Here is a 26,275-nt window from a genome sequence, read left to right as displayed (position 1 = left end):
ATTGCAGCACTATTTACAATAGCAAAGACTTGGAACCAACCCAAATGCCCATCAATGATAAACTGGATAAAGAAAATGTGGCACATACACACCATGGAATACTATGCAGCCATTAAAAAGAATGAGTTCATGTCCTTTGCAGGGACATGGATGTAGCTGGAAACCATGCTTCTCAGCAAACACAGGAACAGAAAACCAAACACTGCATGTTCTCACTCATAAGTGGGAGTTGACCAATGAGAACACATGGACACAGGGAGGGGAACATCACACACGGGGACATGTCAGTAGGTGAGGGGCGAAGGGAGGGAGAGCATTAGGACAAATACCTAATGCATGCAGGGCTTAAAACCTAGATGACCGGTTGATAGGTGCAGCAAACCACCATGGCACATGTATACCTGTGTTAACAAACCTGCACGTTCTGCAAATGTATCCCAGAACTTAAAGTAAAATTAAAAAAAGAAAAAGAAAAAGAAAAAAAACTGTGGAGGGTCAACAGGATGAAAAATGGAAATGGTGTCCGGGTGGTTAACCACAAATGGTCATTTGTGTATGCTGTACTGCAGATAGTTCATTGGTTGGAAGAGAAGGCTCTGCAGGCTCTGATATCGGTACTCATGATTGACTTCCCAATCTCAAATAAAATTTGGTATGGGAGGCCAAGGTGGGTGGATTACGAGGTCAAGAGATAGAGATCAGACTGGCCAACATGATGAAACCCTGTCTCTACTAAAAATACAAAAATCAGCCGGGCGTGGTGGCGGGCGCCTATAGTCCCAGCTACTTGTGAGGCTGAGGCAGGAGAACAACTTGAACCCAGGAGGCGGAGGTTGCAGTGAGCCAAGATCGCGCCACTGCACTGCAGCCTGGCGGAAGAGCAAGAATCCATCTCCAAAAAAAAACCAAAAAAAAAAGAACAACAACAAAAAAACTGATATGCTTTCTCTCCAACGCACAAGACATGAAATAGTCATATGTTCCTGTATTTCCATAAACAAGAGGAGAAATGGATGGCCTCAAACGTAACACACCTTGCATGACTGGTAAGGCCTGATGAGAAGTTACTCATTGCCACACCTCGGAGGATGAAAACTCCAGCAAGTGCTACTGGAGAGACTAGGTAAACAAAAAAGGCTGTTTGGGTTTGAGAACAAGTGATAATCTTCGTTTTCTTTTCTAAAGGACCCCCTGGAAACAACTAAGAAATAATAATTCGTGGAGGACCAGAAGGGCCAGGAGACAAGAAAACAGTTCTGAACTGGCCAGGCGCGGTGGCTCACACCTGTAATCCCAGCACTTTGGGAGGCCGAGGTGGGCAGATTACCTGAGGTCGGGAGTTCAAGACCAGCCTGACCAACATGGTGAAACCCCATCTCTACTAAAAATACAAAGTTAACCGCGCATGGTGGCACATGCCTGTAATCCCAGCTACTTGGGAGGCTGAGGCAGGAGAATTGGTTGAACCCAGGATTCGGAGGTCGCAGTGAGCTGAGATCGTGCCATTGCACTCTAGCCTGGGCAACAGAGGGAAACTCCATCTCAAAAAAAAAAAAAAAAAATTAAGAAAGAAAGAGTTCTGAACTGTGCTGTAGAAAAAAACCATCAGAGGTCGTGGGGGAGCAAGGAAGAAAGGTTATTTTCTGCCCTGAACTGAATTTCAGAGTCTTCTGCAGTTACTTTTCAGCCTTTCAGGATACAGTGGAAAAAGGAATAAAAAGAAAGGGCAGAAGAAGAAAGATATGTAAGAGGGCCTGAAAAGATGGATCACTCGAGGTCAGGAGTTCGAGACCAGTCTGGCCAACATGGTGAAATCCTGCCCCTACTAAAAATACGAAAAATTAGCCAGGCGTGGTGGCGCATGCTCGGGAGGCTAAGGCAGGAAAATTGCTTGAACCCAGGAAGCGAGGCTGCAATGAGCCAAGATTGTGCCACTGTATTCCAGCCTGGGTGACAGAGTGAAATTCTGTCTCAAAAAAAAAAAAAAAAAAAAGAGGGCCTGGAAGATGAAACACTCTGGAACCATCTAGAAAGGGGGATTAAAGCTACCAAAATAAGAGCTGGAGCCTACCCCTTTCCACCCCTCACTATAGTCTACATCTAGCACCAACAGAAGGAGAATATGAAGCCTATTACTCTCTCCCCACAGATCAGCTCCATAAAATTAATGGGATGGCTGCTTCCCTATTTATGTCCAGCAATAACTCAGGAACTGAGCATTTAATTCAGAGGTAAAGTGTCCTCCATTTTTAAAAATCCTTAAATTTAAAATAAAATGTGTCTGCTCCTTGGCAGCCCGCAACACTGAACCTCTTTACAAGGGAGGAGAAAAGTCATTCTGACATTATTCAGATTAATCTACCTGCCGCTGGGAGCTGTCACAGTGCATGTCGGTTGATGGAGGCAGGCCTCTCTGCTTGTCATCGCAGAGAAAGTTTACGTTGCTAATGTTGCTCCAGCTCTAGGGCACTGCCTGGGAATTTTGCTTCCAAAGGAAAGCTATCTAGCAGCAATATCAGCGTGTCACGCAAAAAGAAATATTGATCTACCCAGGCTGGTGCAGAAGGTACCTAGGTGATGTCAAGAAATAGCATGTATTTCACCCAAAAGCAAGGTGTTCACCATTCTGTAAGTGCACTCCCATTTCATAAGGAATAGCTTTCTGAAGAGAGTGGCTTCAAGAACATGAGTCCCTTCTTTTCTGTGCAAATCCCTTGGCATTTAAAATGTCTCTCCTGGCCTGGCTGGGCGCAGTGGTTCACCCCTGGCAAAGTAATCCCAGCACTTTGGGAGGCCGAGGTGGGAGGATCACTTGAGGCCAGGAGTTTGAGGCCAGCCAGGGCAACATAGCAAGACTCATCTCTACAAACAATTTTAAAAAATTAGCCAGGCATGGTGGTGGTGCATGCCTGTGGTCCCAGCTACATGGGAGGCTGAGGTGGGAGGATCCCTTGAGCCTGGGAGGTCAAGGCTACAGTGAGCTATGATCACATCACTGCACTCCAGCCTGGGCCACAAAACAAGACCTTGTCTCCAAAAAAAAAAAAAAAAGTCTATCTTTTATTAGCGACCAGAGTCTGTCATGTGTAGGACATAAATTAGTGATAATCCAATGATCAGGTTATTTGTTATAACTATTTGGTTGTATGACCTAGACCAAATAAAAAGAAAAGGGCTATTATAATATTCCCAAAGTGAGGAGCATTGTAGAATAGAGAATTGCTCTAATAATATTGATAGCAAGAACAGCTGTTATTTCTAGAGCACTTACTATGTGCCATGGACTGTTTTAAGCATTTTACATGTATTATCTCATTTAATCTTCACAACAACCCTATAAGACAGTACTATTATTATCCCCTTTACAGATGAAGAATCTGAAGACATCTCATCCAATGCATCTGTGATGATTAATACTGAGTGTCAACTTGATTGGATTGAAGGATGCAAAGTATTGATCCTGGGTGTGTCTGCCAAGGTGTTGCCAAAGGAGACTAACATTTGAGTCAGTGGGCTGGGAAAGGCAGACTCACCCTTAATCTGGGTGGGCACTAACCAGCATGGCTAGAATATAAAGCAGGCAGAAAAACGTGAAATGACTAGACTAGCTTAGCCTCCCAGACTGCATCTTTCTCCCATGCTGGATGCTTCCTGCCCTCAAACATTGGACTGCAAATTCTTCAGTTTTGGAACTTGGACTGGCTTCCTTGCTCCCCAGCTTGCAGACAGCCTATTGTGGGACCTTGTCATCTTGTGAGTTAATACTTATTAAACCCATATACATACATACATACATATATTATTAGTTCTGTCCCTCTAGAGAACCCTGACTAATATCACATAGTCCAAATCCACCATTTTACAGGGAAGTAAACTGAATATCAAAATTTGTGGTTCAAATCTGGCTTAGAAAACAGGTCTCTTTGCCAAGTGCAGTGGCTCATGCCTGTAATCCCAGCACTTTGGGAGGCCAAGGCACGAGGAATGCTTGAAACCAGGAGTTTGAGACCAGCCTGGACAACATAGCAAGACCCTACTTCTACAAAAAATAAAAATAATTAGCTGGGCATGGCATGCACCTGTAGTCCCAGCTACTTGGGCAACTAAGGTGGGAAGATTGCTTGAGCCTAGGAGTTCAAGGTTACAGTGAGCTATGATTGCACCACTGCACTCTAGCCTGGGTGGCAGAGTGAGACCCTGTCTCAAAAAATTTAAAACAAACAAACAAAAACAACAACAAAAACTGAAACAGGCTCCAGAACCTGGGAGATGTTCTATCACATCATGCTGCTGACATTTGAAGTCACTGAAGAATCACTTGTCCTCATCTGTGAAGTTACATATTCGTTGAGCCCTGTGGGAAGGCAGCAGTCAGCTGTGGACGGCCACGCAGAGCCGACCAACTAGGGAGTGATATCCCGTGTCACCTTGTGAACTGTACCTACTTTCCCAGAAAGTGATAAAGTTGATCATGATGCTCCTTTAGGGACCTGATCAACTGTGATGGTTCGTAGGCATTCTTCCCAGCTGATTGTTTGAACAAATAGCAAATGTTTTAAAGAAATATGGGGATTCAGTCAGGATGGTGGGAGAAATTGTAAAATCACAGGAATAGAAAAAAGCAAATCTTGGAAGGCTGGGGAGTTTTGCATAACTTTAGGTAGTTTGGCTGAAGGCAGCCAGATTCTCTTTTCAGGAGCCAGAGAGCTTAGGGTGCAGATACAAAAGGATGCAGAGTAGTTTATCTAAATAGCTTGTTTACTCATGTGGTCCTAAGACTAACCTTTGACCATCCGTGGTTGCATGATTGCTCTCTACTCAGGGGGGTCAGCAACGGTAATTACCTTCTAGTGGTGTTTACTTAAGACCTCTGTCATTTAATGTGTGCTGAATAAATGCCGGGAGGGCCAGCGAGTCGAAGATGTGGCTGCTGACTCTTCACACATCTTCCTTGGTGTCTGTGAGGAGCCCAGATGCTCAGCTGGACTGATAAGCAGAATATCTGTGTCAGTGTACGTTATTCATCCATTGTTGGGTCAGGGTCTGCAGGATGGACCCCCGCAGAGAAATGGATATGCCTTCCATTAGACCATCTTACAGACAGTCAAACTCACACTGTTTCTCTAGCAGTTGTTTTCATTCAGAGTTTGCATTTGGGGTCTCGAAAGTGTGGAAACATGGATACATTTATTTTTGTTTTATTTTTTATTTTTTTTTTGAGATGGAGTCTCGCTCTGTCGCCCAGGCTGGAGTGCAGTGGTGCGATCTCAGCTCACTGCAAGCTCTGCCTCCCGGGTTCACACCATTCTCCTGCCTTAGCCTCCTGAGTAGCTGGGACTACAGGCGCCCGCCACGATCCCTGACTAATTTTTTGTATTTTTAGTAAAGACAGAGTTTCACCATGTTAGCCAGGATGGTCTCAATCTCTTGACCTCGTGATCTGCCTGCCTCGGCCTCCCAAAGTGCTGGGATTACAGGCGTGAGTCACCGTGCCCAGCCAACATGGATACATTTTTAAAGAGGACTGACATACAATAAGAGTGTCCTCCATAGAACAAGTTTATTTTTAAATTTTATTTCATTTCATTTTCTTTTAGAGACAGGGTTTCACTCAGTTGCCAAGGCTGGTGTGCAGTGGAATGATTACAGCTCACTGCAGCCTCCAACTCTTGAGCTTAAGCAATCCTCTCATCTCAGCCTCCTGAGTGTCCGAGACTACAGCCATGTAACCACCCGGTGGGTTCATCTTGCCTGCTGCCTAGACAGAGCTGATTTATCAAGACAGGGGAATTGCAACAGAGAAAGAGTAATTCGCACCAGAGCCAGCTGTCTGGGAGACCCGAGTTTTATTATTACTCAAATCAGTCTCCCTGAGCATTCGGGGATCAGAGTTGTTTTTTTTTTTTTTCTTTTTTTTGAGAAGGAGTCTCGTTCTGTAACCCAGGCTGGAGTGCAGTAGCGTGATCTTGGCTCACTGCAAGCTCCACCTCCCAGGTTCACGCCATTCTCCTGCCTCAGCCTCCCGAGTAGGTGGGACTACAGGCGTCCGCCACCACGCCCTGCTAATTATTTTGTATTTTTAGTAGAGATGGGGTTTCACTGTGTTAGCCAGGATGATCTTGATCTCCTGACCCCATGATCCACCGGTCTCGGCCTCCCAAAGTGCTGGGATTACAGGCGTGAGCCATTGCGCCTGGCTGGGGATCAGAGTTTTTTAGAGCAACTTCGGTGGGGGAAGGCCAGTGAGTTGAGAGTGTTGATTGGTTGGGTCGGAGATGAAATCATAGGGAATTGATGCCGTCCTCTTGCGCTGAGTCAGTTCCTGGGTGGGGGCCCGAAGATCAGATGAACTAGTTTATAGATCTGGGTGGCACCAGCTGATCCATCAAGTGCAGGGTCTGCAAAATATCTCAAGCACTGATCTTAGGAAGTGGTTTAGGGAGGGTCAGAAGCTTGTAGCCTCCAGCTGCATGACTCCTAAACCATAATTTCTAATGTTATGGCTAATTTGTTAGTCCTACAAAGGCGGTCTAGTCCCCAGGCAAGAGGAGGTTTGTTTTGGGAAAGGGCTGTTATCATCTTTGTTTTAAACTATAAACTAAGTTCCTCCCTAAGCTAATTCAGCCTATGACCCAGAAGGAACAAGGACAGGTTAAAGGTTAGAAGGAAGATGGAGTCACTTAGGTTAGATCTTTTTCACCGTCTCAGTCATAATTTTGCAAAGGCAGTTTCAGGCACGCACCACCACATCCATCTAATTTTAAAAATTTTTCTGTAGAGATGGGGTCTTGCTAGGATGCCCAGGCTGGTCTTGAACTCCTGGTCTCAACAATCCTCCCACTTCAGCCTCCCAAAATGCTGGGATTATAGGCATGACCCACTGCATCTGTCCATATTCCTGAGTAATATTTTATAATAATGCCTCTTCTAGTGTGATGTGAATTCCCTCAATGGAAGCAACACCCTCTGTCAACCAGCCTTCTCCAGACTGGTCCCCTGAAGAAAGCAAACAGAATTTTGTGGAGGGTTTTTGTTTGTTTGTTTGTTTTTTACCATCTATCTCTCCATGTCTTGCTTCTGTAGTAGAATTCTATTAACTGAAACATTAATTATCTACAACAGCCCATGCCACAACTCCAGAGAGTTTATAATTAGTGCTTTTCATCTAAGGGACCAAAAGTTTTGTTACGGCAATTTTCTACTAGTGGAACAATCGACATTTCAATGCTGGTGAAGTTTTAAGGACAAGAAAATTAAAAGCTCATTTACACAACAAGTGAGTGATCTGCCTAAGGACACAGAACCCACGGGTGGCAAAAGTGAACAGGCCATTTCTCTGTTATTGGAAGACTAGCAGGACAGGGAAAAAAAGAAAGGTGGAGAATGTCTATCTTCTTCACTGTGACTTTTCTCTTCCTGAAATGTGCCAGCATTCACTTGGCCCCTGGCTGGATTGCTTTACGAACTCTCCTTTGCTAGACCAAGGAAAAGTACCAGTCTTCAACCTGACCTTACCCACAACACACTGCAATTGACCAGGATTCTCTACCAGGCCCAGGGAGGTCAGCAGCCTCAGCTGGTCTGGTCCTGTGTGATGCTAAACCTTCACCAAGGATGTTCCTTGGTGTATTAGTGAGGGTTCTCTAGAGGGACAGGACTCATAAGATAGATGTATATATAAAGGGGAGTTTATTAAGGAGAATTGACTCACATGATCACAAGGTGAAGTCCCGCAATAAGCCGTCTGCAAGCTGAGGAGTAAAGAAACCTGTCTGAATCCCAAAACCTCTAAAGTAGGGAAGTTGACAGTGCAGCCTTCAATCTGTGGCAGAAGGTCCAAGAGCCCCTGGCAATTCACTGGTGTAAGCCCAAGAGTCCAAAAGCTGAAGAAATTGGAGTCTGATGTTCAAGGGCAGGAAGCATTTGGCACAGGAAAAAGATGGAGGCCAGAAGACTCAGCCAATCTAGTCCTTCCACATTCCTGCCTGCTTTTATCCTAGCCACGCTGGCAGCTGATTAGATGGTGCCCAAACAGATTGAGGGTGGGTCTGCCTCTCCCAGTCCAGTGACTCAAATGTTAATCTCCTTTGACAATACCCTCATAAATACATGCAGAAACAATACTTTGTATCCTTCAATCCAATCAAGTTGACACCCAGTATTAACCATCAGACTTGGTTTCTAAATTCCCACTCAGGACTCTACCATGACCAGTTCTGCTGGTTTAAAATTTGACCCCGATTGGATCACCTGCTGTACTCTGTGCTGCTCTGACAAAAGAAGGGACAGGCAAAATCTCAGGGTTAACCAGAGAGAAACGTTCCAGGCCATTGTGAACCAATAATTGATACTCAATCTGTCTTCATCTTGTTGAAGGACTGGTCATCCGATAGCCATCAGCTTCTGAGAAAGAATTCACGGACCACATAATTCACCTGCTTGCTGTGTACAAGCCAATGGTTTTTAGTATAGTCATAGAGTTATGCAATGTCACAAAAACCAATTTTGGAACATTTTCATCACTTCTACCCCAAAGCCCCATCTTCATTATCAGTCACTCCTCTATCCATCCCTCCTCCACAGATGGGGGTGACCCCTAGTAGTGGGTAAGCACTATTCTACTTTCTGTCTCCCCTGGTTGGTTTTTTATTCATCTTTAGTTAGACTCACCAGACTAGTGGGGTGAGTCTGGGCTCTGCTGTTTGGTTTTTAGAGCCCTCTATACAGCATACCTCCTGTTTTTATCTGGAAGATGACGACTTCCAGATGAAGACCGGATAGTCTTCCATCTTTCCTCTATTTTTACTTTATATTTTTAAAGAATAGAGATGGGGCCAGGCACAGTGGCTGACTCCTGTAATCCCAGCACTTTGGGAGGCCAAGGTGGGCAGATCACCTGAGGTGTGGAGACCAGCCTGGCCAACATGGTGAAACCCTGTCTCTACTAAAAATACAAAAAATTAGCCAGGTGTGGTGGTGCATGCCTGTTATTCCAGCTACTCAGGAAGCTGAGGTACAATAATCGCTTGAACCCAGAAGGTGGAGGTTGCAGTGAGTCGAGATCAAGCCACTGCACTCCCGCCTGGGTGATGGAGTGAGACTCTGTCTGGACAACAACAACAACAAAAAGAAATACAGATGGGATCTCACTGTGTTGTCCAAGCTGGCCTTGAACTCCTGGCTTCAAGTGATCTTCCTGCCTTGGCCTCCCAAAGTGCTAAGATTACAGACCAGAGCCATCGCACTCAACCTCTTTCTTCTGTTTTTTAATGCATATTTCCCACCTTCAGTATCTTCATAAGACACTAAACAACTCATCTTCATTATGTAGTAAAGGGTTAACTCAGTGGGCTTGGGTTGTCTAAACCCCGCACAATCCAGAGAAAGAACTGGCCCTGGATCAGCTTCTGGGAGACAATCTCTAAGCCCTTGGAATATCCTACCTGATAAGAGTGTCTTTGCATGCCAAGGCCCTGGACGATGCTACTGCAGTTTAACTTCTGGTGGGCAAGGGCTGGAGGTTGAGTAGCTAAGGAGAGTCATGCAAGGCTCTCCATGCCTATGTGACTGACCCACAGTAAAAACCCGGGATGCCAAGGCTCAGGTGAGCTTCCTGATTGGCAGGACTTGAAATGAGTTGTTATGTGCCACCGCGGAGCAAATCAGCCCTACCCATACAACTCCATTTGGGAGAGGACAAGTGGAAGCTTGCAACTGACTTCTGTGGGACTCTTCATGCATCTCTGCAGATTTTTTTTTTTTGAGACGGAGTCTTGCTCTGTTGCCCAGGCTGGAGTGCAATGGCGTGATCTCGGCTCACTGCAACCTCCGCGTCCCATGTTCAAGTGATTATCCTGCCTCAGCTTCCCGAGTAGCTGGAATTACAGGTGTGCACCATCACACCCAGCTACTTTTTGTATTTTTAGTAGAGACACAGTTTCACTATGTTGGGCAGGCTGGTCTTGAATTCCTGACCTCAGGTGATCCACCTGCCTTGGCCTCCCAAAGTGCTGGGATTATAGGTGTGAGCCACCATGCCCAGCCTGTTGATTTTAATCTGTATCTTTTCATCATTAACAAATAATAACCATGATTGTACAGCTTTTCTGAGTTTCGAGAGTTCTCCTGGTGAATCATGAAACATGACAGTGGGCTTTAAGACCCCAAACACACTCATTTGCAGAACTATACCCTGCATTGTGTTATCTTGCATATACTCAGCCGGTAAAAATCTCCTCCAGCTGGCAAGGTCCAGCTAGTCAAATCTTTTCCAGGAAAGACAGAACAGCAGGTAAGAACACAGACTCTGGGCCTGACTACATCCGAATCCCAGCTCCACTTCTTACCAGGTGTGTGACGTTGGGTAAGGTGCTTAACTCATGCTTCAGCAACTTTGCCTGTAAAAAGGATATAATAATATTCATCTTGGCCAGGTACGGTGGCTCCCACCTGTAATCCCAGCACTTTGGGAGGCTGAGGAGGGTGTATCACTTGAGGTTAGGAGTTTGAGACCAACCTGACCAACATGGCAAAACCCATCTCTATTAAATGTACAAAAATTAGCCAGCTGTGGTGGTGCATGCCTGTAGTCCCAGCTACTCAGGAGGCTGAGGCGGGAGAATCACTTGAACCCGGGAGGTGGAGGTTGCAGTGAGTTGAGATCACACCACTACACCCAGCCTGGGTGACAGGGCAAGACTCTGTCTCAAAAAAAAAAAAAAAAAAAAGAAAAGAAAAGAAAAAAAAATACTCATAGGGTGAGAATGAGGAGCGAATAGATGTGTATTGTGCTAAATACAAGAACTGTACCTGACACATAGAACACTGTGGTGTTAGTTATGGCTATGAGCTTTTCCATCCACTCCAATGGCAAAAATTCCCTCCCTCCCATGATTCCACATTTCATTGCCCTGAAGTGCTATCACACACATTTGAAAGCCTGTGTCACCACCCATGAACTCCATCAAGACAGGATAATCATTTCATTTACCAATACTATCCCTGCTGGAAATGCTTACCCCAAAGCTGAGCACACAATTGGCCCCTAAAATATATTTGCTGATGCATAGGAAAGATACCTCTATTTTAAAGTCTGATTTCTTCTCTTAAAGCTTTCCTCCTCTGTAAGCCAGTCATATTCCTTTAGGGAGGAAAAAATAACCTTCTCCCTTTGTACATATCTGTGCACAGAATTTGAGATCCCGGCAACTATATATCCAAGGCATCCCTTTCAACTAAAGGAGTCTAACAGGCTCTAACAGCACCCATACCTTATAATTTATTATCAAATTATATGTTGGATTAAGGATTGCTAAATTGTTAATCATTGCCTTTAATTAGTTATTCATGAGCAATGTCACTAATTATAGGACCACCTAACATACAGCAGGGAGGAACCACTGTCACCTCACAGAAGATGCCTGACTCAGCTTTCAGCCAGTGCCCTGAAAGCAACATATGCTGTAAAATGTCCCATCTGTGGCATTTTGGAACCTTCCCTCTCATGGTGAAAGTCTCAGGCTTTTGCAGCTGGAGAGAAGTGTACAGATCAGCAGTTCTCAAGCTACGAGCAAAAGTTCTCTGAAGGCAGCAGAACTAAGCCAGGTTTTCATGAACTTATGGTGCACCTAACCTAGGTGCATTCAGGCTAAATAAATGGTATCCTTCATTCTTATCTTACACCTCACTCTTTTCCCCATATATACATAATGTCATGAATAACAAAATCTGAGTTCATAACAAAACACAACTGAATTTATGGTAGTTTTTTTTGTCAAGAAATCCTGGTGGGGTCAGGTGCAGTGGCTCTTGCTCATAATCCCAGTGCTTTGGGAGAATAAGGGAAGAGGATTGCTTGAGGCCAGGAGATCAAGACCAGCCTGGGCAACATAGCAAGACCCCTGACTTTACAAACATTTTTTAAAAATTACAGCCAGGCACGGTGGCTCACGTATGTAATCCCAGCACTCTGGAAGGCTGAGGCGGGCAGATCACTTGAGGTCAGGAGTTTGAGACCAGTCTTGCCAACATGATAAAACCTTATCTCTACTAAAAGTACAACAATTAGCTGGGTGTGGTGGTGGGCACTGGTAATCCCGGCTACTTGGGAGGCTGCAGTAGGAGAATCGCTTGAACCCAGGAGGTGGAGATTGCAATGAGCTGAGATGGTGCCACTGCACTCCAGCCTGGGAGACAGAGTGAGACTGTCTCAAGAAAAAATTTAAAAATTACCTGTGCATGGTGGCACATGCCTGTGGTCCCAGCTCCGCTGGAGGCTGAGGCAGGAGTATCGCTTGAGCCCAGGAGTTGGAGGCCATGATGAACTATGATCTCACCACTGCACTCTAGCCTGGGCAACAGAGTGAGATCTTATCTCTAAAAATATAAATAACTAAGAAAAAGAAATCCTGGTGGAAATTTTGTTGAATTTATATTCTTTGCACCTTGAAATAGCCATTATTTTTTCTGTTCTTGGTGAACTTTCAGCAATGATTCCAGACTTTTACCCCTTTTGGGTAGCCTCCTATCTGAGGCCCAGCTCTCACTCTTAACAAATGATTTTCTCTCCTCATTCACAAGGAAAATGTGAGTCAGACAGCATGACCTTTCCCTTCCTACCATTCAAGACCAAACCATTGTTCATGTCCTTAGCCCACCCACGCCTCCTTCTTCAGGGTCTTTCTTTCCCAATCAGTCCCCACCCCTTCCTTTCTGCCTTCAGACTTTCCCCTTCTCCCTGTTCCATGCCTTCAGATGTATGTACTGTGTTAAAACAGGGCTCTTCGTGTCCACACTGGGGCTGAAGACATTCTGACAATAGATGCTGTATTAAAAGAGATCTTGCAAAAATTTCAATAGACAGACAAACAGATTAGCCGAATACTTTGGATAAGTAAGTGGAGTCCAGGAAAAGAAGGTGTCAGGAGGGTTTCCCAGAAGCAAACTGTACCTGAAGGGAGGGACGAGAGTCCTACCATCTAACCCCAAGCCTAGTGGCCGGTGTCCCTGGAAGTGGAGACACATGCTCACTGGTGTGCGACTCACACTTACGAAAGGGAACGTGCCCTCTGGAACACAGGGGAGCCCTGGTCAGGGAAGCCGTCTTTCCACCCAAGAGGGACAAAGGTGTGCAAATCCCAGAAACCAGATATGGAACCTGCAGAAGGAATGTGGACTTGGAACCACTTTAAAAACGATGTCAGCCGGGCGCAGTGGCTCATGCCTGTAATCCCAGCACTTTGGGAGGCCGAGGTGGGCAGATCACGAGGTCAAGAGATCGAGACCATCCTGGCCAACATGGTGAAACCTCGTCTCTACTAAAAATACAAAAATTAGCTGGGCATGGTGGTGCATGCCTGTAGTCCCAGCTACTCGGGAAGCTGAGGCAGAAGAATTGCTTGAACCCAGAGGCAGAGGTTGCAGTTAGCCAAGATCACACCACTGCATTCCAGCTTGGGTGACAGGGAGAGATTCTGTCTCAAAAAAAATAATAAAAGGGATGTCCACCAAGAAAAGCAATGGATTTCTGATGCATGAATGAACCTCATAAACTGTATGCTAATAAAAGAAGCCAGAAACAAAAAGCCACATTCTGCAGGACTCCACTTATATGAAATGTCCAAAATAGGCAAATCCATAGAGACAGAAAGTAGATTGGCAGCCTTCACTGTTTGGTGGGAGGGAGGAATAGGAAGTGACTGCTTAATGGGCACTGGGTCGCTATTTGGGGGAATAAGAAAACTGGAAGTAGATCGTGGAGATAGTTGCACAACACTGGGAATGTTCTTATTGCCACTGAACTTCACACTTTACAATGGATAAAATGGTAAAATTTATGTTACATATATATTGCCACGATTAAGAACATCATAAACAAAACCAAAAGGGATGCTCTAGATCAGCAGTCCCCAACCTTTTCAGCACCAGGGACTGGTTTCATGGAAGACAATTTTTCCATGGACAAGGGTGGTGGGTGGGGATGGTTTCAGGATGAAACTGTTCTACCTCAGATGATCAGGCATTAGATTATCTCATAAGCAACACGTAACCTACATCCTTCACACGCGCAATTCACAATAGGATTTGTGCTCCTATGAGAATCGAATGCCCCTGCTGATCTGATGAGAAGCCGAGCTCAGGAGGGAATGTGGGAGATGGCAAGAGGCTGTAAATACAGATGAAGCTTTGCTTGCTCGCTCGCCTGCCACTCACCTCCTGCTGTGAGGCTCAGTTCCTAAAAGGCCATGGACCAGGACCAGCCCTGGTCCGCAACTCAGGGGTTGAGGACCACTGCCCTGGACAGTGGCTTACCAGAGCATGGAGACTCCAGCAATAAGAGTACATGGGGCAAACAAGAAGGCAGAAGTCGAGAGTACCCTAGGAGAGGCCAGCTGAAGGGAGTCACTGCCTGCATGGGGTCAAAAAAGCAACCTGGAGGTTCAGATTTCCTACACCCCAATGTGGTGTGGACATTGAAAACAAAAAAAGGATACTGCCGAATCATTTGGTACTAGGCTTCTGACTGTTAAGAGTAAATGAGGCCAGGCGTGGTGGTGGCTCACACCTGTAATCCCAGCACTTTAGGGGGCTGAGGCAGGCAGATCACGAGGTCAGGAGATTGAGACCAACCTGGTTAACACGGTAAAACCTCGTCTCTACTAAAAATACAAAAAAAAATTAAAATAAAAATAAAAGCCAGGTGTGGAGGCACGCACCTGTAGTCCCAGCTACTTGGTAGGCTGAGGCAAGAGAATCGCTTCAACCTGGGAGGTGGAGGTTGCAGTGAGCCAAGATCATGCCACTGCACTCCAGCCTGGGTGACAGAGCAAGACTCCATCTCAAAAAAAAAAAAAAGAGTAAATGAAAAGCTATATATAAAGTCCTCAATATGCATTCAATAAACGGTAAATCTAATAATAATTGGTATATTATCATTATTAATATGGATTGATGGTATAACTTCCTATGAAGAACACGCTTGTCTTTCTAACTAGCCAATATCTTTTTTTTTGAGACGGAGTCTGGAGTCTTGCTCTGTCAGCCAGGCTGGAGTGCAGGTGGTATGATCTTGGCTCACTGCAACCTCCGCCTCCAAGTTCAGGTGATTCTCCTGCCTCATCCTCCCGAGTAGCTGGGATTACAGGTGTGCATCACCATGCCCAGCTAATTTTTGTATTTTTAGTAGAGACAGGGTTTATCCATGTTGGCTAGGCTGGTCTTGAACTCCTGACCTCAGTTATCAGCCCACCTCGGCCTCCCAAAGTGCTGGGATTAAAGGTGTGAGCCACCGCCTCTTCTTCCTGCTTTGCCGTGAGATGTGTCAGCTCCCACTTCACCTTCTGCCATGAGTAAAAGCTCTATGAGGCCTCCTCAAAAGCCAAGATGCCAGTGCCAGGTTTGTACAGCCTGCAGAACTGTGAGCCAATGAAACCTCTTTCCTTTATAAATTACTCAGCCTCAGGCATTTCTTTGTAGCAATTCAAGAACCGCCTAACAGAAAGGAAGTTGCTCTTGGAGAACAATCAGAGCTTAAGACAGCAGATTTAAGAAGCTTCTCTACACAGAGGCAAGAGCTGGGTCAGTGCTGCACAAAGTCTTACATAGACGAACCTCAGCAGAGAGGGCTGTGGACACACAATAATACAACATGAGGGGAATCTCTACAGGTTGAACTGGAGTTCAAGGAAGTCTGGCCATGTTGCTCCTGTGGCTTTGAGTGACACTTTCCCCAAATCCCCCAGCCCCACTGACGTGGTTTGGCTCTGCACCCCCGCCCAAATCTCATGTTGAATTGTAATCCCTAGTGTTGGAGGTGGGGCCTGGTGGGAGGTGATTGGATCATGAGGGTGGATCCTTCATGAATGCATTAGCACCATCCCTTTGGTGCTGTTCTCATGATAGAGTTCTCAAGAGATCTGGTTGTTTACAAGTGTGTGGCACCTTCTCCTTCTCTCTTCTTCCTCCTACTCTGGCCATGTAATACGTGCCTGCTTCCCCTTCTGCCATGACTGTAAGATTCCTGAGGCCTCCCCAGACGCAGAAGCCTCCATGCTTCCAGTACAGCCTGCTGAATCCTAAGCCAATGAAACCTCCTTTCTTTATAAATTACCCAGTCTCAGGTATTTCTTTACAGCAGGGCAAGAACTAATACATCCTCCATGGCACCCACAATACATACCACAGGTGCCCACTGCCGGTGTAAGTTGCATAAATGAAAGCTATCCTGGGAACAACACAGGTCTCCAAGGAGTTGAGTGTAAAGGCAAGATCAAGTTCTGGGGGCCGGGTGGTCAAATGCAGTCTAGACGCATGTGGTTGGGGCCTTGAAGTTTTGAAGAAGAGAGGTTTATTGTCAACATTTAGAAGGCAGGAGATTTCACAAAGGCTCTAGATTTATGGCTTCTCTTAAAATTCTGGGCCAGGCGCAGTGGCTCACGCCTGTAATCCTAGCACTTTGGGAGGCTGAGACGGGTGGATCACGAGGTCAGGAGTTCAAGACCAGCCTGGTCAACATGGTGAAACCCTGTCTCTACTAAAAATACAAAAAATTAGCTGGGCGTGGTGGCATGCACCTGTAGTCGCAGATACTCAGGAGGCTGAAGCAGAAGAATTGCTCGAACCCGGGAGGCAGAGGTTGCAGCGAGCCGAGATCGCTCCCCTGCACTCAGCCTGGGCGACAGAGCTAGACTTTGTCTCAAAAAAAAAAAAAAATTCTGAAGACCTGACCACACTGGCACCACCAAGCAGAGCTGGGAACAGCTGCCTCCTTGGGCAGGACCTGTGTTCTTCAGTTCCCCCACCTCTTACCCTTACAATCGGCCTTTGCCCTCTTTAATGGCACTTGCCCACTTGCTATACTGGAAACTCTGGTGTGGAAAAATAAAAGTGGAGGACAAAGAGAAAACCTGAGAAAACAGCTATTTAGCAGGCAGGACAAAAAAAATATTAATATATAGAAAGAAACAGGAAAAGAACTGAAACAGAAGGAATTATCAATTCCCTTAATGCAAATCTCCTATATTATGTTGCTTACCGGGAAGTCTCAGTATCTAAAGACTCATCTAATCTAACACCATTTGGATGATGAAATGTTTTCTTTGGCCCATCTTTTACTGGAGCAAAATCGTACTATTAAAATGTTGGCTTCACAGCAAGAAAGAGAAACTGCCATGTCCTCATGTTTAAGAAAGCATATTGTATCCGCTTAATAATTTCAGAAGGACCATAAAAATTCATCCCTGCAATTAAATATCCCCATCAACTATTAACAAATTAAGCATTCCGTAAGTTAAGACACATTAAAAAGACATCATTGGCATTTGATTCTATTTTGTACAACAGAGATGCATGTCACATTAATGACTCATGATCATGACTCTACTTTCTTGAGTCTTTTTAAAGTGCATATTAATCATCTGTTAATATTACCGTAACTTATGAAATACAAGCTAACTTTTTGCTTAGAACCTTACACACCCAGAGACAATCATTACAGATGTTTGCTGGGCATCCGAAGGCACTCCACTGCAAGCACTTCTTTTTCTCTGTTGACAGCACTTACGGTGACACCCTCATACTGTTATCTGTCCTGGCTGGAGGCCAGTCTCCCGTGTATCAGTGTGAAGACTTGGGAGAAAGTATCTTTCAGCCAACACATGAAACTCACTGTCTGTCAGTCCATCATTTGAGTTTCATCCCTTTGAGATCTGAAGGTCAACATGTCTTCAAGCACTCGCCATTAAAGCTCAAATATCCCTGAAGGCTTAGATTTAGTTAACCTTACACTATTAATATTATTTGCAGATAGCCAAGAATATGGTCCTGAAACACTGCATGATGAACAGTTGGTGTGGGAGCTGAGCCACAAGACAGCTTGAGGAAGTTGTAGACCCAAAAGATTACCTTCTCTGCTGTACAAATTTGCCCATGCTCTACTCAAAGGCTATTTTTCAGCTTTTGGTGTCAGCAGAAAAATAACGAACTTTTCAAAAGCTTACTCTTTTTTTATTATTATTTGTGACAGGGTCTCCTTCTATTGCCCAGGCTGGAGTGCAGAGGAGTGATCACAGCCCACTACAGCCTCGACCTCCTGGGCTCCAGCAACCCTCCTTCCTCAGCTTCCTGGGTAGCTGAGATTACAAGAGCACACCACCACCCCGGCTAATTTTTTTTTTTAATTTTATTTCAGTGGAGACACAGTCTGGCTATGTTGCCCAGGCTGGTTTTAAACTCCTGAACTCAGGCAATCCTCCTGCCTTGGCCTCCCGAAGTGCTGAGATTACAGGTGAGGGCCACTGGGCCTGGCTAAACTTTTACTCTTGTTAATCACAAATGTTTAAACTGAGAAAGAACTTCATGATTATCTGTAAAAAGTCTTCATCCCTACTTCATTATTCCATCGTGCTATCTTACTTAACACCAACAAGCACACCCCTAAAACCGAGCCCAGGTACACAGGCCTCTCCTGCCTCTCCCTACTTAAGACAGAACCATGATTTTAGAGTCAGTTTGGTCCTCAAGTAGAACTCACATAAAGTACTGAACTATAACTCGGGGATCAGAGGGTTTTCAACCAAGCCCTTTTCCCCAAATAAGGTACCATTCACAGGTTCCAGAGATTAGGATTTCCATATCACATCTGCAAAGTCCTTTTGATATGCAACAGGGGCAGGGAAGTGCTGGGTAGAGAAGGGCAGGGTCCCTGGCAAGGGCTCCACCCTCGGGCCTGTGCCCACGGACCTAAATGAGGACAGGTATTTCTGTTTTCGCACTGAAAAAGTTGCCCTTTGGCCCACCATACCCTGTCCCCCATCCTGTGCCCATAAAAACCCGGGACCACAGTGGGCACAGACACAAGCGGCTGGACGTTGAGAGGAGCAGAACACATGGACAGACACCAGCAGACACCAGCAGGCTAGCAACAACAGAATGACGTGGATGCTGAGGGGAGTTCGGCCAGGGGTAGTTGAAGGAGAGTCTGGCTGCTGTGCAACCCAACTCCAGGGGAAGACCACCTTCCCACTCCATCCCCCTTCCTGCTCCCCATCCATCTCATTGAGAGCTACCTCCACCACTCAGGAACACCTTGCACTCATTCTCTAAGCCCACATGTGATCTGGTTTTTCTGACACACTAGGGCAAGGACCCAGGATACAGAAAGCCCTCTGTCCTTGTGATAAGGCAGAGGGTCTAAGTAAGCTGATTAACACAAGCTCCCTGCAGATGGCAAAGATGAAAGAGCACACTGTAACACATGCCCACTGGGGCTTCGGGAGCTGTAAACACTCAATCCTGGAGACCGCCATGGGGTCGGAGCCCCAAAATGCTCCCCGCAACCTACCCATCTGCATGATCCCCCTAGGGGTTTGAGCAGTGGGGCACTGAAGAAGCAAGCCACACCCCTGTCATATGCCCCGCAAAGGGGATAAGGGAACACTCCCATTTCACTTTTTCCCAAATAAAGGACCATTCACAGGTTCCAGAGATTAGGAACTTGTGAATGGTCCCTTATTTAGGAAAAGAACTTTGCAGATGTTGTTAAGTTAAGGATCTCAAGATGGGAGATAATCCTGGATTCTTGTATGGTCCCAGAATGTAATCACAAAAGCCTTTATAAGTGGGAAGGAAGGAAGCAAAGGAGGAAAAGGTCACGTGATGAAGGGTGCCAGAGAGAAAGGGAGATGCGACATAGCCATGAGCCAAGGGAGGAGGCAGCTTCTGGAAGCTGGAAAAGGCAAGGACATGGATCTCCCAAGAGCCCCCAGAAGGACCAGACCTCCTGACCCAGCCCTCCTGACCCAACCCCTTCTTCATTTTAGTTCCATCAGCTCATTGCAAATTTCCGACCTCAAGAACTGTAGCAGCATCAATCTGTGCTGTTTCAAGTCATTATTTTCATAGTAACTTGTTATAGCAGCAAGAGGAAACTAATATAGCATTGAAATCAACCTATTTCATTCAACCTCCTTGCTTTTTTTTTTTTTTTTCGAGACAGAGTTTTGCTCTTGTTGCCCAGGCTGGAGTGCAATGGCATGATCTCAGCTCACTGCAACCTCCACCTCCCAGGTTCAAGTGATTCTCCTGTCTCAGCCTCCCAAGTAGCTGGGATTACAGGCACCTGCCACCACGCCCATCTAATTTTTTAAATTTTAGTAGAGAAGGGGTTTCGCCATGTTGGCCAGGCTGATCTCGAACTCCTGACTTCAAGTGATCCACCCACTTTGGCCTCCCACAGTGCTGGGATTACAGGGATGAGCTACCAGGCCCGGCCTCAACCTCCTTTCTATTTGAGTTCTGCAACTGGTATGCCTCAAGATATTGATCTCCATATCCCGAGAGGCAGCTGGGTGGGACCCGGGGCAAGAGCCATAAAGAGCTCCCCAACATCCCTCCAGTTCCTCAGAATGCCACACCCCCTTGTCCTTTTCTATATGATCTTGTATCATGAAAAAGAGTGCAAACATGACAACAGTACAAGGCTTCAAGTATAAAATAGCCCCAGAAAAAATAACTTTCAAACTTCATCCTTAAAAGCTCCTGAACGCAGTTCCTCCTATACGAGGAAGAATAAAGAAGTGTGAACATTACTATCAGTTTGAAACTTCTCAGTATCGCTGTTGGAAAGCTGCACTTGAAAACTTTACATAAAGGTGCAAAATGCAACATCCTCCCTCTGCAGGAAAGCTGTGATCCTGAGACAACGGCGGCTCCTGGAGAGCTGTGTGCACACAGCTGCTCGAGCCCAAGGCAGGCTTTCCTGGCCTCTCTCAGTAGCTCCTTTTTACCCTTGAATTTGGGGGCTCGTTGGCCGCCAGGGCTCACCAGCCACAGACCTGATGGGGAGAGAAGGGTCTCCGGCGTCCCACCAGTCTTTTGGGGGGCTGATGTACATGCACCACAGCTCCCAGCTGTACCCGTGGGCCGAGTTCTCGTACCGCTGCACCTCAAAGTTGTCCTGTTTGATGTTGTCAATGGAGGGGAGGATCACACGCTTCCGGTTTTCCTGGATGCGGGATAGAACCGGCTCAGCCCTGAAACATAGAGAAATAGACATGAAACCTCTCTTCTCTCCCGTGAGGCACACCTCCCAAGACCACACGGAATGAACAGCATTTAGCTACTTAAGGCTGGGCTTTGGGAAGGCTGGAACTCAGATGCAAACTGAGGCTCCCAGGGACCTGCCCACGCTGGATCCTGCAGCTTCACTCCTGGGCTGTGAAGCGTGTGAAATCAGCGCACCCCTTTCCCCTTGTTGGAATCACTAGAGTGATGCCTGCTCTGGCCCGAAAAGCCTGGAGCAAGAGGAGTTCAGAACATGGGGTCTCCTTCCCAAGAAAGTGCCAAGTCTCACTTCTCATACTGACGGTGGACTCCATGATTCACATTGCATGACAGTTTTATACAGTGTCGTCAGTTTCCCCCCAGGGCACTGACTGCCACCGCTTGTTTTTTCTGCTGGCACTGAATTCCCTTTCCCAAAATAGGTCACTTCTGCCCGGATGGCCTGGTTTTAACACACATTTCACTAGCTTCTCTGTGTGTGTGTGTGTGATTATTTCAGTTGTTTTAATTGATGATTTAATTGATTTCTTAAAGGGATCTAATTGAATTGGTTAGCAATAGGAGACTGGAAACTAATTAAATGCAAAGGCAGGCAGAATCCCAGCTTCCTGCTCACTTCCCCAGCTCGAGGCTGCAGCAGGTAATTCGTCAGGAATCTGGCTCCAGGTTCAAGGTGTAGCCCGACTGGCTTAGGAGACAGCAGATGGCCAGACACCTCCACCATCGTGTGTCTCCGAGGCAGGCGCGGGAAGGGATCATTTCCCATATTCGAGAAGGAGAAGATGGCTCTCCTAAGCCAGGGCATTAATCTCCCAGCTTATAACAGAATGCAGGCTTTGGAACAGAGTCAAGCGAAAATCCCATTCCTCTGCATTATCGGGAAGAATAATGAGAACACACAGTCGACAACCCATCTCTTTTCATTTGCAGCTATTGAATTACCTGTTGGCTCATCTCATCTTTCTATTTAAAATGAGCAATAAAATATACCCTGGGCCATTACCTGCTTCCAATACTTCTGCACACACCATATAAGCTGAAGCCAAATGGCACTAATTTTCCAAGGCTTCCAGGCAGGCTTAGGACCATGGCCCTGGCCAAGCCTCCACTCATGAAATTCTCCCCTGGGGATGCCCTTTGCTACTGGCAGAGAGCACAGCCATCTAAGGAGGCTTAGACCAAGTACCATCTCTCCTACCTCACTCACCACCTGGTCCCAAGACCAAGTACCACCTCCCACACCTCTCTCACCACCTGGTCCCAAGACCAAGTACCACCTCTCCCGTGGGAGTTCTTCCTCTCAACTCTTAGATCATTTTCCCCACCTTATTCAAGTCACAATGACTGCGCAGCTGCCTTTGCTAATCAACTCTGAACACGAATTATTTTTCCTTATGAGCTAATGATAGCTGATCTTTATTAAGCACTTACTAGTGCTGGGGGCCATTCGAAATATTTCACATGTGTTGACTAATGCAACCCCCAAGATAATCGTATGAGGTAGATACAATGATCAGCATTATATAAATGAGGATACTGAGGACCAGGGAGGTTAAGTAGCTTGCCCCAGGTTATACAGCCAAGTGGTGGTAGAAGGAGGTTTCTAACCTAGCTGGTCTGGTTCATGTCTTAATTCTGAAGCTCCACTACCTCTTTGATGAACCATGATGAACCCCATGCAAGTCCAGATCATGCATTAGAAGCATTCAGTTCAGCCCATCTATCAGCAGCGAAAGAGTCACTGAGTATGGAGGCAGAAGACCTTGGTTCCAATGATATTTCTTTTTTTTTCTTTTTGAGACGGAGTTTCACTCGTCTCTCAGGCTATAGTGCAATGGCATGATCTCAGCTCACTGCAACTTCCGCCTCCCAGGTTCAAGCGATTCTCCTGCCTCAGCCTCCTGAGTAGCTGGGATTACAGGCGCCTGTATTTGTATTTTTAGTAGAGACAGGGTTTCGCCATGTTGGCTAGGCTGGTCTCGAACTCCTGACCTCAGGTGATCCGCCCGCCTCAGCCTCCCAAAGTGCTGAGAGGTGTAAGCCACCACGCCTGGTCCCACTGATATTTCTGCGGCTGAGAATTTTGATCTTACTGTCTACTAGACAATGTATGACGATTCCCAATAATTTGCTCCCTCCTCCCTGGGGATGTCCTGCCTATTACCAGGTGGCCTGCAATGCTTCCTTAGAGAAGCACACTCCTTCCCCCAGTCTCCAATTCCCATTTAACTTGGACATGTGAATTGGTTTGCCAATGGGATGTGAGCAAAATGACGGTGTCACATCAGAGCAGAAACAGCCATTTCGAAGTTCAGCCACTGTTCTTTTCCCTGAGCCACAAAGATGGAATGTCCTAGACAGGAGGATTCCTTGACTCTCAGAACACAGAGGAGAAATCAAGCACAGCCACAGCCAGACAACCGCAGCTGACGTGCCATGCAGACAAGAGAGAAACATGTATTGTTGTAAGTCATTGTGACTGGAGACTTTTATTGCAGTAGAACCTGGTAAAAGTTGAGACACACTGTCTACCTTGTAATGAAGAACTGCCAAGGGGTTTTAATTCAGAGAGGGTTCTATGCCACCCGGGTAGAAGTGTGGAAAATGCGTCTGAATGGCAAAGACTAAAGTCACAGACATCAGTGAGAATTAGATGATAGGTGGATTTGATTAGGTAGACTAGAATTAGACTGTAGACTTGAGGGCAGATACCAAACCTGCTGGATTTTGAACCCCAGCTTAGTGTCCAACTGTCCCAGTTTGTGCAGTACTCTTCCAGCCTTACCACTGAAAGTCCTGAGAAATCACTCAGTGCCAAACTCCAAACCTAGAACAGCACCAGGGATATGGTAGGCATCTAGCAAGTATCTGCCAAAAGAATGAGTTCCAGCAGTGACCGCATTGGTTTAGGTGAATGTCAAGAAAGAACCAAGCTAGGAGAGTGGTGGTCAAGATAGAGAGAAAGAGGGAGACAGGAGAAATGGCAGACAAAACTGGCTGGAGGTGGAGGTTGACAGGATGAGTAACATGATGGCAAGGGGAAAATCAAGGGAAAGGGACATGTGTCGGGGCCATGTCCTTTCAGTTTTGAAAGGAAAGAAACGAGGAGGCAATGATGCCAAGGAAAAGACAAGGTATGCCAGGCCTGAGGCTGTAACGGAACATTCGCCTGAATCTTTTTCAGAAGGCTTCCATTATGGCTCAGTGCTTCTCAAACTGTAGCATGCATCAGAGTCCTCTGGAGGGCTGATTACAACAGATCGCTGGATCTCACCTGCACGGCTTCTGATTTCAGGGGACTGAGTGGAGCCCAGGAATTTGCATTTCCGACAAGTTCTCAGATTCTGCGGATGCTGTGGGTCTGGGGCGCCACACTTTGGGAATGATTATTACTAGAGATAAACAGCTCTGGAGCTCAGGAGAGAGATGAGGGCTGAAGACATGCAGCTGGGTGTCACCAGGGTTTGATGACAGCAAAAAACTGGGAGGGAAAATTGGCGGCCGAGATGGCAATAGACCCCAGCATGCACTTGAAGGGGTCAGTGTTATCAGTGGCCCTGGGTTTCTTACGTGGTCACATGCATAAACATTGTCTTTTTATCCTGCCATTAAAAGGATTCTAGAGGTTGTTGCAAATGAAGAAGAACAGACATTTTAATGTTAATTAGTGATGGGATATTGGTTCTTCAAATCTAGTACAGTGAACAACACTTACTCAAGAAGGCCTCAATGAGTGTAAATAAACATATTTGTGAAATACAAGACTCTGCTTCTTACTAATTAAGCAACCCAGGGTACAGGTTATTTAACCTCTAACTTGATGGATCATTGGTTACTTAGCAACAATTATCTGACCATGCTTTAAAACTGGAAAGTCCTATTCCAATTTTAACATGATTCTGGCATTTTTGTGGCCTCACTCTTTGTGCATCCAAAATCTTCTACTCCCCGTACACTCAACCAATTTCTCACATTCTGTTCTTTTCACCTGGAAAAATATCAGGGCCTATCTGCAGAAAATGCGCTTCACCTTCCTCCGAATGATGTGAAAGATAATCCCATACATTCTGGGGAGCTTTACCTGAGTAGTTAGAATTATAACTATATCTCTTTTCTCACAATGACAGACAACCATCCTTCCCTGCAAACAGAGCAGCAAAGAAGGAAAAGAGAACAAGAAAAATATGACTGTCTTGTACCATTTGCAAGGATTCTGTTGAGTTTTATCTAATTGATACACCGTTTTCTTTTTTTCTTTTTTTTTTGAGATGGAGTCTCTCTCTGTCACCCAGGCTGGAGTGCAGTGGCGCGATCTAGGCTCACTGCAACCTTGGCATCCCAAGTTCAAGCGATTCTCCTGCCTCAGCCTCCCAAGTAGCCGAGACTACAGGCGTGCTCCACCATGCCAGGTTAATTTCTGTATTTTTAGTAGAGACAGGGTCTCACCATGTTGCCCAGGCTGGTCTCAAACTCCTGACCTCAAATGATCCACCCACCTTGGGCTCCTAAAGTGTAGGGATTACAGGCGCAAGCCACCATGCCCAGCCTGATAAAACATTTTCACTGGGGATTTTGATGACGATGATGATGACGATGATGCCAATGATGGTGAACTGAACAGACGGCAGACAAATTTCTCCCTGCTCCCTAGCTTTATCCCAGACAATGGTCTCACTTTCTTCTTTGACGAGTCTCTCTCTAGTCTCCCAGTGCCACTACAGGTAACAGGTGAAATGTCCCACCTCCCAGATTCCAGCCCCTCTCAACCACAATGCAGGTCTTGAGCACCCCTGAGTTTCAGCTCATGACCTACCAGCCAGCGGTGAATTCCACGTGGGCATCAAAGAAGCCAGTGACCTGCCCGGTAGCCACCTTCCAGCCCTCAATGCGAGCGCGGATCAGGCCTTCCCTCTTCTGATTTCTTACCACCTTCACCAGCCCGGGGTAGCGTTTGTGGACATACTCCTCTAGGGGGACCTTCAGCTCCTCTGCAAATGACAAAAATGCAAGAAGGTCTATAAACATGTCATTTCAAATTTGCATCTAACCCACTGCAATGCCCACAGATCTTCAGGGAGTTCAAAGATCTCAAAAAAAATCGCATGTTAGTAATTCTGGCAGAAAAGAAAATCTCATCAGTCTAGGAGTCAGAAGACATCTCTGATGCATTCACCCAGGACAGCTATCTTCTGACAGTTTGCAATCCGTACAGCGG

General features: G+C 46.0%; 1 protein-coding gene across 4 annotated transcripts in view; it reads right to left on the bottom strand.

Moving 5' to 3' along the window:
* Positions 1–26,275, bottom strand: part of GALNT17 (polypeptide N-acetylgalactosaminyltransferase 17) — a 581,456-nt gene that overhangs the window by 271,663 nt on the left and 283,518 nt on the right. For all 4 annotated transcript variants that reach the window (NM_022479.3, XM_011516467.4, XM_017012521.3 and 1 more), the window contains exons 4-5: positions 25,874–26,048; positions 20,832–21,029 (exon numbers count right to left, since the gene is read on the bottom strand). In NM_022479.3, the coding sequence (NP_071924.1) occupies positions 20,832–21,029; positions 25,874–26,048 (373 nt within the window). The remainder of the gene's footprint in view (positions 1–20,831; positions 21,030–25,873; positions 26,049–26,275) is intronic.

Source organism: Homo sapiens, chromosome 7, assembly GCF_000001405.40.
Source record: "Homo sapiens chromosome 7, GRCh38.p14 Primary Assembly".
Taxonomy (NCBI): Eukaryota; Metazoa; Chordata; class Mammalia; order Primates; family Hominidae; genus Homo; species Homo sapiens.
Note: the sequence above shows the minus strand (reverse complement) of the source record. Positions and strands in the feature narration are given on the sequence as shown.